Source organism: Homo sapiens, chromosome 4, assembly GCF_000001405.40.
Source record: "Homo sapiens chromosome 4, GRCh38.p14 Primary Assembly".
NCBI classification, from domain to species: Eukaryota; Metazoa; Chordata; class Mammalia; order Primates; family Hominidae; genus Homo; species Homo sapiens.
The window spans coordinates 3,231,491-3,244,059 of record NC_000004.12 but is presented as its reverse complement, the minus strand read 5'-3'; the positions used below and the strand labels follow the sequence as shown (position 1 = coordinate 3,244,059).

Sequence of the window (12,569 nt, the reverse complement as noted above, 5' to 3'; positions counted from 1 at the left end):
GCCCCTGCTGGAGAAGCACTTAGGAGACTGCTTCCTAAGACTCCAGCTCAGCAAGGTCTAGGTTCTCATGAAGCAAAGCAAGCCTCACACAGCAACAACTGATGGTTTCCATTTTTTTCCTTTAATTTGGATGTACAATGTTTGCAGCAGTTAAAAAATTAAATATACATCTCTCGTCAGTCCTTCCCTTTGCTCTCAGAAGCATTCAGGTCTGGGTGGGGCTCCGGGACTCGCCCATCACAGCCCTGCTGGCTCCAGGGGAGCTCAAGCTCAGCTGACAGTCCCTCTGACCACGGTGCAAAGCAGTGAGACCTGGACAAGGAGGCCCCACTTGGGTCAGAGCCCACCCTCCGTAGGCAGGTCCACGTTGGCCACGATCCTCCAAGGCTGGCAGTTACCACCCAGATTGCAGCGGGAGACTCTGCTCTTAGAAACAACTGAGGGGAAGGCGTTCCTTTGACTGCACCAGAGCGTGACAGGCACATGGGGGAAGAGCGGCCCCTGAACCTTCCAGGTTGCCTTCAGTTGTCATGCGGCATTCTGAGCAGCTCCCTCCTTCCCAGGAGGCCCAGGCCCGGCAAGCGAGTGTCCTCGTCTGAGCCATCCTGAGCTCTCCAAGGTCCCTCAGCAGCTCTCAAGATCTTCCTTCTTCTCACTCCTACACGTGACCCCTCTGGAGGACAGCTCCAAGTCTACCCTGGCCAGCAGCTGTGGTCCCGGGTCCTCCCCGCAGAGGGAGGAAGCGGGGGAGGGACAAAGCCCGATGAGGATGTCTGCTGGGAAGGATGCTCACAGGTAGCAAGAGAAGCCTGACTCCACCCACCAGACACACAGAACTAACCTCACTCCACCCCGCAACGGGAGGAAGTTCCACCTGCCAGGCGGCCACACACCGAGTTATTGCTGTCTACTATCCGTCCCGAGCTCCACGTGGGGCTCATCTCAGCTCCAAGAGGAGGAGCTGTTCATTGGCTCCGAGGGCTCTGAAATGACCCCCTCCATGAAGATGGGGGCGAGGGGTGTCCTTTAGGGCACAGGGCCTTCTCAGATGCTACATTCTGGGTGTCTGGAGGGGGTTCAGCTTCACATTTTCCCCTTGAAAGGACACATGCGCTGGCAGAAATGAGGGTGGACAGTAACAAAGAGCACTTGGCAGCTGGAAACATCACCTACATAGACTCAGCTGGGCCCGCAGCGGAAGGGAGGCACATTTTGGGAAAGAAACACGCTTCAGTGCATTGCCAAACAATTCTACCCTGGTTTCATTAAAATCTTTCCCGATATTACCAGCAGGAAAACAAAAGCAATCTCCCCACAGCCCACCCCCAAAACTTGACAACCAAATTAATCACATTTGCAACAAAATTTGGATAATACGATGGGTGCTTGCCACAGATTTTTAGGAACATGATAAAGTCTTCCTCCCTTCTGCAGAGAGCTGATATGGAGACCATCTTCGCCAGTGGGATCCTAGTGGGCAATGAATGAGCCCTGCCCTGACCACGTCCCACGCCTGGATGTCCGTCACGCGGCTAACTTGACCTGGCGGGTCTAAGGAAAGTCAACTTCCAGGAAGAACCGACACGGGCACTCTTAGAGGCCATGCATCTCCGTCTTGAGAGGTGTGTGTGTAAAATTATAGATGTGTCTATATGCACATGCATGGATACTTTATGTATATGCGTGGGTGAAGTCATTTTTACTAATGAGCTCATATTCATCTCCGGAGCACACAGGCAGGTCTTTGGGGGTGGGGGACACCTACTGCCAGAGCGGGGTGTTCTGAGCCCCTTGCTAAGGACTGGTTTAGATCACGTCGTAAACAAGAGGAAGACAAACTCTATGTTGAGCCCAGCGATATGCATTCCAAGGGAATGGCTCTGTTTTACATTCACAGTGTTATTTCTTACAAATGTAAACATCTAGCCAGGAACAACATCTGGCCTGTGATACTGCTGTCTCAGAGCTGCTGACATAACCTGCGGGGGAGGCGGGAGGCGGGTGGGGAGCAGCCAACAGTTCTGAGAACTTTCCCCTCGTTCCCAAACCTTCTAGCGGGCTTTCCAGGAAAAAGCTAGGATGAGAAACAGGAGCCCCCAACCAATACGGAATGGTGATTTTCTTACGTGTTATAATTCAGTAGCTTCCCTTAAGGGCCTCCTCAAACATCGGACCCCTTTCTACCGCTCCTGCTGCCCCGCCACGAGGACGAGGTGGTCCTGGCTGGGGGAGGCCTCTGTTGGGAGCTGGTGGGAAAAGCCTCATACAGGCCTGGCAGAGGCTGCTCAGAGGAGGGGCTCCCTTTCAGCTCCCCCTCACGTATGTGGGCAGCATACAAGTCCACATCTCAGCTGCTCCCCAGCTGCCACATAGGAGAGGGACAGGTGGAAGCTTGGGGGTCTCAAGGCAGCACCTGCACAGAGTTCCAACATTTCCTCCACTTACCACATTCAATACCCAAAACATCGACGGGCATGACCAAACCAAGCCACATGACAGTCGCCAACCTTGCCTGGCTCGCCTCTAGGGCTGAGGAAGCAGAGCCCCTGCCTCGTCTCACAGCCAGTCGGCAAGCAGAGCTCCCAAATCCAGCTCCTACATCAGCAGCAGCCCGGCCATCCAGAATCCACTTCCATTTTAATGACTTGGCTCCTCTGGGCCTGCAAACAGGAGGCTGGTCCAGGGACCTGGCCTGGGGATAGGAGTGGCGGCTCTGACAGGGCCGTGGGGCAGTCTCCGATGAGCACAGATCTGCACTCTCCTGACTAAAAGGGGTCACCGTGCAAGATGTCAGCTGGAACGGGGGCAGAAGGGATGCTGGGCTCTGTCACTAACAGTGCCAAGACACCAAGCTTTGCTGTTGACCGAGAGAGGCTCAGACAAAACACAGCTCAGTGACACTCTTAGGGCATGCATCCATGGAGCAGCAGGTCCCAACACCTGCCAGCCAGCTCCTAGGCAGACGCCACCCCAGGGCTAGCAAGGAACAGGAGTGGGAGGCCCATGTCTCTGGACACAGTGGAGGCTGCTCACAGCCAGGGAGGGCTGGCCTTCTCAGCTGAGTGACAGGGAGGCTGCTGTCCCTGACTGGTGGGTGGAGAACGACAGTCGTCTGTGCCCGAGGAGGAGGGGCTGCAGGTGAGCGCACCCCTAGGATAATGGGGGCCTGTCCTCAGTCCTGCTGTGGCCACCTGCCCACTAACGCCTCTCTACATCCCAGTCACCTTGTGAATGCATAAACAGGAACATGTACAACGGAAATGTCAGCGGGTGCTCAGGAGGGCTATGCCAGTGGCTACAGGAGAGGGAGCGTGGCCGGGGGCCCTGTCCACCACCCCGGACGCTGTCGCATGCAGCACAGGCCTTGCGATTCACATACTTTACACGGGCATAGAAAGAGTTACGTTAAAATTAATCTCTTTACTGATATAATTAAATTTTAAATCCTGAGAAGAAAAGAGAGAAGGGAGAATGGTGCCGGGTGTCTAGCACCCCCAGCCACTGGCCCAGCACAGGCCATGGCATCTGTGCATCCAGACACGGGGCGTGGCATGCACACCCCACCAGGGAGACCCAGGCCAGTGTTCCCAAAGCCTGCTCACGGCACCTTCTACTGCAGGACAGCAGAGGGGCCAACAGCCAGCCTGCAGGAGGGAGGACTTCTGGCCCAGATGCAAGAGCAGCTGCAACCTGGCAACAACCAGCAGGTGACTATCAGGAGAAAGGACCTGGTCACCCACATGGGGTGCAGCACAGCTGCTCCTGCTTTCTGGAAGGCCTCAGGCTCAGCCCCACCAGGACTGCAGACACTCCCTGCCTGGCCACTGCCACAAAGAGCACTTCTGCCACATGGCAGAGACACGCACGTTGCCTGGCCGCCCGCGGCATGTGCGGAAGCCCATAGGGACCAAGCTGGCTCGGTGGAGGCAGGGCACAAGGGCGCAGACTTCCAAAGGCTCCGGCCCCAGCTGCCGCCTCACAGTCTCTCCCACCATGGCGCTCAGCAGGTGGTGACCTTGTGGACATTTCGTAAACAAGTCAGCAGCCGGTGATATGGGCTTCCTGGGGCTGCAACCACCTCAAGCACAGACTGGAAGGCCCTGCGGTCGAGCTCCTCCTCTATCTGGTGTCTGTAGAAGTCTGTGGCGACCAGGCAGAAAAGGTTCACGTCCACCTGCTCCAGCTTGCCCATCCTGCTGATGACATGTGGGAGGCTGGTGCAGGAGTTAAGGAAAAAGGCCGGCAAATGAGGGGAATGCTGCCTCCCTGTCCTCACCTGGGAGTTCCTCTCCTGAAACAGTCTACAAAGGGGTCCAGGGAGCCTGGAGAGCGAGCAGAGCCCCGGAAGGGCCACCTGGATGCCTCCAGCTGCATCAGCGCCTCCACCTCCATTCCTGCAACCCTTGGCTGGCTGGATGCCCTGCAGGCAGGGCACCCACTCGGCAGCACTCACCTGGCCTGGCTCCTGTGCAGCGCTGGTGGCCGGTGCTTCCGCTGGCCTCCACTAGCCCTGCTCCAATGCAGTGAGGGCAGAGCCGTGCCAGGCACGCCGGGCAAGGCTGTGCTGTCAGCACCAGGACAACTGTGCTGCTTGGAGGCTCTTGTGGTCTGTCTTGGGGAAGGGCTGTGGAAAGGGAAACTCCTGGCAGCCAGCATCTGGGGGTGGGAACTGGATCTTTACTTAAGCCTTTCCCCGAGAGGGCGATCGAGGCACAATGACCAAAGCTAATGAGAAGCAGTGTCAGGAGAAGCCCAGCCACACAGAGCCCGCGAGTGGGCGGGACGTCTGCAGAGACCACCGCCCACCCTCGCTCCCCTCACCCAGGCCCTCCACAGAAAGGCCCCTCAGCTGCGACCCTCCTGCCATACACCGGCCCCTCTGAGAGGCCCTGGTCAGCAAATGTCTGGACGTGCTCCTTTCTGTACCCCTGTCAGCATTTTACTTCCCTGGGGCTGAGGGCCTGTCACCCTGGCATCTGTGGGGTTTTTGCAAAGGTTAGGTTTCAAAACCTTATCATGAAACATGAGCCTCGGTGTTGACAAGGGAAACGGGGCCAGCACCAGGGACCCAGAGAGGATACATCGCCGCGACCCACGGGCTGGTGGACGCGCTGACAAAGAAGCAGGAGAGGCTCCACGTGGCCATGGCGACCGGGGCCCTCTGCGTGAAGTTGGAGAGGGACAGCATGACCCAGTCCCGGACCATGGACGACTGCCCGGTGCTGTGCAGAGTCTGAAACACCTGCAAGGAGCAAGCAGGTGCCTGAGTGTCAGGGCTGGGGGGACGGGAAGCACCTGCTGCGCCTGGGTGGCGGGGGTGGGGTGGGGGCCAGAGGCATTGCTGCTTTAAAGCGGAGGAGCTGGGCTCTGCTGGCGAATCTGCTGGGAAGTCGGAGGCAACTCCACCTCCAGGCTTTCCCACTCCATCCCCATCCCACATGCAACCTCACCTTATACACCACGGTGGCCATGAACTGGGGGTATGGCTGCTGGTTGGACAGAAACTCTCCGATGACTTTGTTCATGATGTCCTGGGGTGGGAAGAAGTCGTCTAGAAACTGGGGCAGGATCCTGGCCACCACTCTGGCTTCACAAGGAAAGCCTTTCCTGATCCTGGGAGGAGGGACGCAGGTCAGAGACTGGCACCAGCTCCCACAGCTGCCCCACCTGCCCGCGGAGGGCCTTGGCTCTAATACTGGGGAAAATGCCGATGTGAAATCAGGGCTGGGAGGGACCCTCGGCCGTGAGGGACTTTCCAAGTGGGGAAAGTCAGAGCCTAAGCAACTGGAGTACGAATTTTGAGACTAAAAAGGCAAAACCCCAGCCCTTCCTCTGTCTAGCTCGTGGAGGCAGGCTGCTCGGCACAGGCCCTGGGCTCCCACACCCTGTAGGGACCAGAACTCCTAAGAGGAGTTTGAAAGCTACGTAAAGCCTGGGCTCCCACGCCCTGTAGGGACCAGAACTCCTAAGAGGAGTTTGAAAGCTACATAAAGGAATATGCAGAAACGGCGCAGCGGGAAGGATGTTACAAAAGAGATTTTTAAAAATCATAACAAAAGAACCCGTTCCCATTATGTTTTTGCTGCTTTCCACATGCAAATGCTCCACAAACATCCCTATGTGTTCTAACGCTTCGTGGCACTGTTGTCAACCAGGACTTTTTTCTTGTTACCACACAGGGCCCCATCTGTGCTCTCGCTGCTTCTTCCCTAACCAGATCCTGAAACACGCCCCCTGAGCAGTATCCCTTTCAGTGCTGAAAAGCAACCATCACGTTCCCGTCTCATCAGTGCACACATGCCAGCCGTGTGTAACTGAGACACACGGGAAGCAGCTACGAAAATGGCAGTGCACTTCCTCACAGGTGCTCCTGGCTCTACCCGCCCGCAGACCCTCGCCCAGCAGTGGCATGGCAGCCGCTCTGAAGACACTGCTCCACAGAGAGAAATCTGTGGTCAGCTGCGAGGTGCCTCCCTGTGGCGTCTGGAGAGCGGTCAAGCGGAAGGCGTGCACCACACTCTTTGGAGCACTCGCCACCTAGCATTGGGCCCACTAGACCACAAGCCCCTTGAAGGCCAGGACTGGTCGTGGCGCCTCCCTGTGCCCGTCTGCCAGTCGCAGTGGTGCTCAGTGAGCATATGGGGACTGAAGAACGATGCAGAGGTGCATTTAAAAATCGACATGGGGGCCGGGCGCAGTGGCTCACGCCTGCAATCCCAGCACTTTGGGAGGCCAAGGAGGGTGGATCACTTGAGTTCAGGAGTTCGAGACCAGCCCAGCCAACACGGTGAAACCCCGTCTCTACTAAAAACACAAAAATTAGCTGGGCATGGTGGTGTGTGCCTGTAATCCCAGCTACTAGGGAGGCTGAGGCAGGAGAATCACTTGAACCCGGGAGGCGGAGGTTGCAGTGAGCCGAGATCACACCATTGCACTCCAGCCTGGGTGACAAGGGAAAAACTCCATCTCAAAAAGAAAAGAAAAAAAAAAATCAACATGAAAACAGACCAGCACAGGCTTGGCTGTTCAGAATGCCTCATCTGGTCAAACAGTGGAGCAAGGTCCACCTGAGTATGCTCTTGAGAAAAGCCAAATGGCTCCCCACTGGCCACCCTGATTGGAGAGCACAGGCAAGGCAGTGCAACAAGGCTCCAGATCCACCATGTCGCCAGGACTGAGGCCTGAGAGCAAATCAGGGGCCCTTGTCCTTGAGAAAAAGCCCTACCAAGCTCCTAACCCACTTCCAGAGCAGGTGAGGGAAGCCAATTCTATGCACGCACAGCAGTGGGGGGTGGTGGGGGGCAGAAGCCACTGACCACACGGGTCTCAAAGATGCATGTGTGGGTTCCACCTTCATCCTCCTGCCGCTGCTCCTCACCCTGCTCACAGGCACCACGGCCCCCCTCCCACAGCCCCGTGGGCTCCCCTCTCACGATAGGCAGCCAGGCTGAGCCAGCTCCTCCTCACTGTACAGGCTTCTGCCCCACCCTCCCAGAGGCTGGTCATTCCTGCCCCCTGCCACACCCCCAACTGCCAGGTACTGTCCCTGAGCCCTCAGGAGAGATGGGCAGGCACTGGGACAACCTTGGAACTGGTCAACGCTACACCTGAGTGCTGGGGTCCAAGGACCACCAGCTCGCCAGTGGAACCCTGAGCCAAGGCAGCCCATGGTCAGGCTGTGGTGGGGAATCACTGGCAGGACTCCAGCAACAGCGCCAGGGGATCAGCAGACACACACAAAAGCACAGCTTCAGGCCAAAGTTCTAGGGAAGCTAACGGCTGAGGGATGGGGCTTCGCTTCTTACCTATCAAAAAGAACAGATACCCGCTCCATAGCAACAATCACTGACTCGCTGTCGGGGGCTGCAGGATTAGGGTCTGAAGTTCTACCCGGACTGACTTTCTCCTTTCCTGTAACAAAAGTGTTCAGTACGAAGGTTACCTCTATACAACCCAATAGGCTCTGTAGACAGTGCTTTGTACACAGGGGTCCAGTGAGTCCCTGGAGATCTGAAAGCAGGTGATATCAGCCCCTTGCTTGCCCAGGACCCAGCCCAGCTCAGCCACATGGGATGAGTGACCACAGGGACGGTCAACCCTGACCAGGTACTCCAGCCCTGGGGGCTCCAGAGCCTTTCTTGCAAGGTGATGGGGCCGGCTTGGGGCAACACCAGAAGTGTGAAATCAGAGGGCACCTAGTCGAGGTCCCTTGAGTGAGCATGCTCCTGCCTCCCTTGAACAGGACTTGGGCTGGCCTTATGGGCACCGTGTACATGCTCACCTGTGTACATGCAGGTGAGCATCAGGCCCAGAGCCGCCATGGCCCGGTGCGGGCTGTGCACGTTCACTCTGTCCACACTCAGCTTGACCAGCGATTCTGCATCCAGGCGGGAGAGCTGCTCAGAGAGCAGGAGGCGCTCCAGGCCTCTGAGGGCACAGTGGTAAATGATGGAGGGGGTGGACTCCTCACTTCCAGACAGCATCACCCCACACATCTGCACAGGGAGAAAGGCCTCTGTGTCAAAGAATCGCTGCACAGTCTCAGGTGTTCATGCCTCCTCCCGACCAAGTCAAAACTGGCCCACTGGTATGATCCTGCAAGGAAAAGAGAAGGGAAGCCCACTCCCCGTGTGCAGAGGAAGACAGCCAGGGCCCACTCACCTGTATTATTGATGCTGAAAATTCCGGCCCTACGTCCAGAGGATAGTTCTCAATGAGGTAAAACGCAGTGGCACACATGACCAGTACGTGCTGCTGGCTGTGAATGTTCACGCAGCTGAAAACGGGAGACAGCATCCAGGCTCAGCCACCCCCATCCAACGTGGAGAGGGCTTCACAGCATGTCCGGCCCCACGCGGGAGTGTAGAGCTATGGGCCAGGCGGGCTCCCGGGAGCGCCTACCCTGAGTGGCTCCCCCAGGCCCCTGCAACCTGGCCTGACCCTTCAGCCTCTGCTTGACCACTCCCTGAGTGGCTGAGCCCGTCTACCTCCCCAACGCCCTGCCCTCTCGGCCTAACTCAGCCTCCCCTGTGGCCACCTCCATGCTGGCCACCACACACTTCCTCTCTCTGTCCCTCAACGAGGCCCTAGATTCCCACACCCCAGGCCAGTCCCCTCTACTTCCTGAGTGCCCTGTGCTTTTCCTTCATGGCACATGCCATCATGACGTGCTGCCTTCTGTGATCCCCCGACAGCGCCGGCCTTCCCCATGGCACAGTGAGGACCTGGTAGCCAGGGACTGAATGAGTGGCCACTGTGAACAGAGGAGCCAATACGATGCCCCCCAACACCCACAAAAACGTGCCCAGTGATGCGTATATCTGTCACCACGTGGTCCCACCTCCACCTCGGAGGCACGTGACACGGCCCCTCTGCCCATGGTGCTGAGGTCAGCCCCACGCACCATTTCTACCTGGATGCCACAAGCTCTCTGCATCCCAAACGCAACTCCTGGACCACCTCAACTCTCCTTCCCTGAGTCCTCCATGCCCACAGCAAGAGCCATAGAACAGCCCAACACACCAGCACAGGCAGGGCTTTGGCCTGTGTCTGGGGCCTGTTCTGGGGCTGCCCCCCAAAATCACGTCACTGCACCAACATATGTGCCTGATTTGCAGGCCTGTGCCCCGTGTGACTTGGCCCTATGCCAGGCTCCAGGGATGCAGAGACAGTTGCCAGCCGTCCGCCTGTCCTGCTAGCACAGCACCCACTGCCCAGCAAGGATGACAGGCGAGAAGGGCCTCCCCACGGGCTTGTGACACTCTGGCCTGGATGAGGGCAATGGCCCCTGATGAGCCGCTGTCCCTGCTCCAGCATGTCCCAAATCCTGCCAGACGGCCACCGGCATGTGCCCTGGCTCACACCTCCCTCCTGTCTGAACTGTGCCTACAGAGACCTTCCCGTCTCCCTCCAGGTCTTCCACTCAACTTTGACCTAGCCCCCGTTTCCTGCCCACTTGTCAAAGGGGATCACTGGCCATTCCTCCCAGACCCCTTCCCATCTTTGCTCCTAATTCTTGCCCTCAACTCCCCCATGTGGGTGGCTGATGAAATTCCACCCTCCCTCTAAAGACAGCTCCCGTGTGCAGAAGCCTATGACTCAGAGAGGCTGGGCCCATCTCTGCTAAAGCCTCTGCGACTTTGGAAGAGTGGCGGTGAGACCAGGGTGTCACAGAGCCCTCTGCGCTTGTAAGACATCGCTGTGAAGAGCTTGACTTGCTCGCTGAGGGGTTGCGGCACCAGCCGTGCTTTGTCAAGGACACGTGTGTACAGAACCTGCCGTCCAGCAGCTTTAAGATAAGGTGAGGTCGGAATCACAGTGGAAACAAGAGGGAGGTACTGGGCCAGGGCGGGGAAGGTGCAGAGAGGAGGCTAGCCTGGGTAATAACAGGGTTCTGGGAGCAGAGAATGAGAGCCGATGGCCTCGAGAGCAGAGTCAGGAATGGGCACGTGGGAGAGTGTGCTAAGCGCCACATGAGACAGCAGCAGAGGCGAGAGCTCCAGCTCGCTGGAGGTGCCCGAGGAAGCCTCTAGGACGCACCTGTGCTCTTGCGTCTCACTGACCTCAGCCATGGCACCCACCTGGGTTCCCACTGATACCTGGCCTGCCATCTGGCCAGGAGCCTGGGCACTTGGAGAGGGTGATGCTGCTTCCTTCACAGCTCATTCTGAGACCCCCGCCCCAGCCCCAGCCAGGCTCCCACTCACTGGGCGATCCCTTTCAGGTTGGAGAGGAGATAGTCGCTGATGACCGGGATGAGCTGCTTGGCAGTGTCGTCCAGCAGGTCGCACTCCAGCACATAGAGGACGCCGTGCAGGGCTCCAACCCTGCTGGGCAGGTGGCTGCTCCTGAGCGTGCTCTCCAGCAGGCGGCTGACAGGCTCCGCCACGGCCTTGTCCTAGGCACACACAGACAAAAGCTGCTGCATGCCACCAGAGCTCACGTCCCAGTGGCTCCTCCCCACAGCCGAGGCGGGGGCGCTGCCCTCACGCTTGTGTGCAGAAGAGACTACACAGCAGGCCGGAGACCATCCTGAGAGGCCTGTGTGCAAGGCTGGCCCCTGGCTGGTGTTGGGACGGTGCCCACCATCCTCACTGAGGAGGGGCTCCCTGTGCTCAGCTGCTTGTGTGGGCACCAGGGTTGGTGCTGAGAACTTGCCTTCCCTCCGGGAGTCCAGAGTCTGGGCACGAGGCAGGCAGAGGGTGCCCATGTGCCCAGCCCCCAGTAAAAACCCTGGCACCGAGTCTCTAGTGTGCTTTCCTGGCGACGACACTGCACACGCGCTGTCACGGCTCACTGTGCGGGGAGTTAAGTGCGTCCTGCACGACCCCGCTGGGAGAGGATTCTGGAAGCTCAAGCCTGGTGTCCTCGGGACATCGCCCCATGGGCCTCTGCCCTTGCTAATTTTCTTTGCTGATTTTGTTTTGTGTGCTTTTACCATAACACATCTTAGCTGAGAGTCTTTCTAGAAAAGCCTGGGGTAGTCTTGGGGATCCCTGATAGTGGTTTCTGTCAACTTCAACCAAAATGGCCTCAATTTCACTTAGTATCCAAAACCTAGCAGGGTTAAATATCGACCTAAACACTTAGCCCACGTTCTTCACTTTCAATCTGCTCTTTAACAGTGAGGAGACCCCTGCAGAAGTCAGCAAGGAATGTCACCCTCCTTCAGCCCAAGACTATGGGGACACAGAATTCCCATGGAGCGCTGGATGGCCAGGCGGCCTCTTGTTTTTGTGGAATGATGAGGTTCTCGGCAGTGGTAGGAGCCTCTCCGCAGGGGAAATGGCCGGACGACACAGAAGCCACTCCCAGCCATCCCAGGAACAAGGACCAAAAGAGGAGGCTGTTCTTTGTGGGTCACTTCCTTCTTGGGCCCCCACCTCACCCTGTGCTATCCCCTCACACGCACAACGCCACACGGCCCCTCCCTAAGGACTGCGTACGGCCCCAGGTCCCACTTCTGAAAGCCCCACATCAGGACCTGCTCTCGGGTGGCACGGATTTCACAACGGTGGGCAAATACCTCAAAACGACATGCTCTGGATACGTGGGTACCAAGCATGACGCGCTGAAAACCTTCACAGAGGATGGCCATCTTCCAGAAAGCATGAGTGCACAAAGAGCTGGGAGTGAGTGTCCATGACCATCCTGCCTTAGGATCTGCTTTTCAAAATGATTATTTCTCATTTGATTACTGATGGCACAACACTTGCCTAGGGGGATCTGGGCCTGAGCACAAAACCACAGTTACAATTCAAGTTAGCCCAGCAGCTGAAACTTCCCACAAAGGAGAAGGACCCCTTCCAAGAGCCGCTTTGACATCGTGTGGGCAACACCCAGAGGGTGTTCGCCGTGAAGAGAGATGCCCACACAGGGAACCCACACACTCAATTGTTTCCACTCCCTGGACGGCTGCTGAGTCACCAGCATGGCACCAGGCTGAAGGACACCCACAAGGGAAGATGACTGGCGTTTGGGCTCGGGGAGGACAGAGTCTAGGCAAGAGCAGTCAAGACTCGCAGAGAGGGAGTCAGGCTCCAGGTCACGGACATGTGCTCACCTCAACC

The 12,569-nt window shown here is 57.6% G+C and overlaps 1 protein-coding gene across 2 annotated transcripts in view, besides 2 other annotated features; it reads right to left on the bottom strand.

The window, feature by feature from the left end:
• The window catches only part of HTT (huntingtin), a 169,280-nt gene continuing 156,810 nt past the window's right edge, over positions 100 to 12,569 (bottom strand). Inside the window, 7 exon segments of one of the 2 annotated variants that reach the window (NM_002111.8) lie at positions 100 to 4,214; positions 5,082 to 5,242; positions 5,451 to 5,613; positions 7,806 to 7,911; positions 8,282 to 8,495; positions 8,662 to 8,776; positions 10,707 to 10,897. In NM_002111.8, the coding sequence (NP_002102.4) occupies positions 4,001 to 4,214; positions 5,082 to 5,242; positions 5,451 to 5,613; positions 7,806 to 7,911; positions 8,282 to 8,495; positions 8,662 to 8,776; positions 10,707 to 10,897 (1,164 nt within the window). In that variant the 3' untranslated portion in view covers positions 100 to 4,000. 2 annotated transcript variants of the gene reach the window in all.
• Positions 5,175 to 5,833: an enhancer, noted in NCBI's record as "OCT4-NANOG-H3K4me1 hESC enhancer chr4:3239954-3240612 (GRCh37/hg19 assembly coordinates)". NCBI's record gives its function as "activates a minimal SCP1, AML or CMV promoter by ChIP-STARR-seq in naive H9 embryonic stem cells {active_cell/tissue: H9 hESC(naive)}" and the evidence as "EXISTENCE:reporter gene assay evidence [ECO:0000049][PMID:30033119]".
• Positions 5,834 to 6,493: an enhancer, noted in NCBI's record as "OCT4-NANOG-H3K27ac-H3K4me1 hESC enhancer chr4:3239294-3239953 (GRCh37/hg19 assembly coordinates)". NCBI's record gives its function as "activates a minimal SCP1, AML or CMV promoter by ChIP-STARR-seq in naive H9 embryonic stem cells {active_cell/tissue: H9 hESC(naive)}" and the evidence as "EXISTENCE:reporter gene assay evidence [ECO:0000049][PMID:30033119]".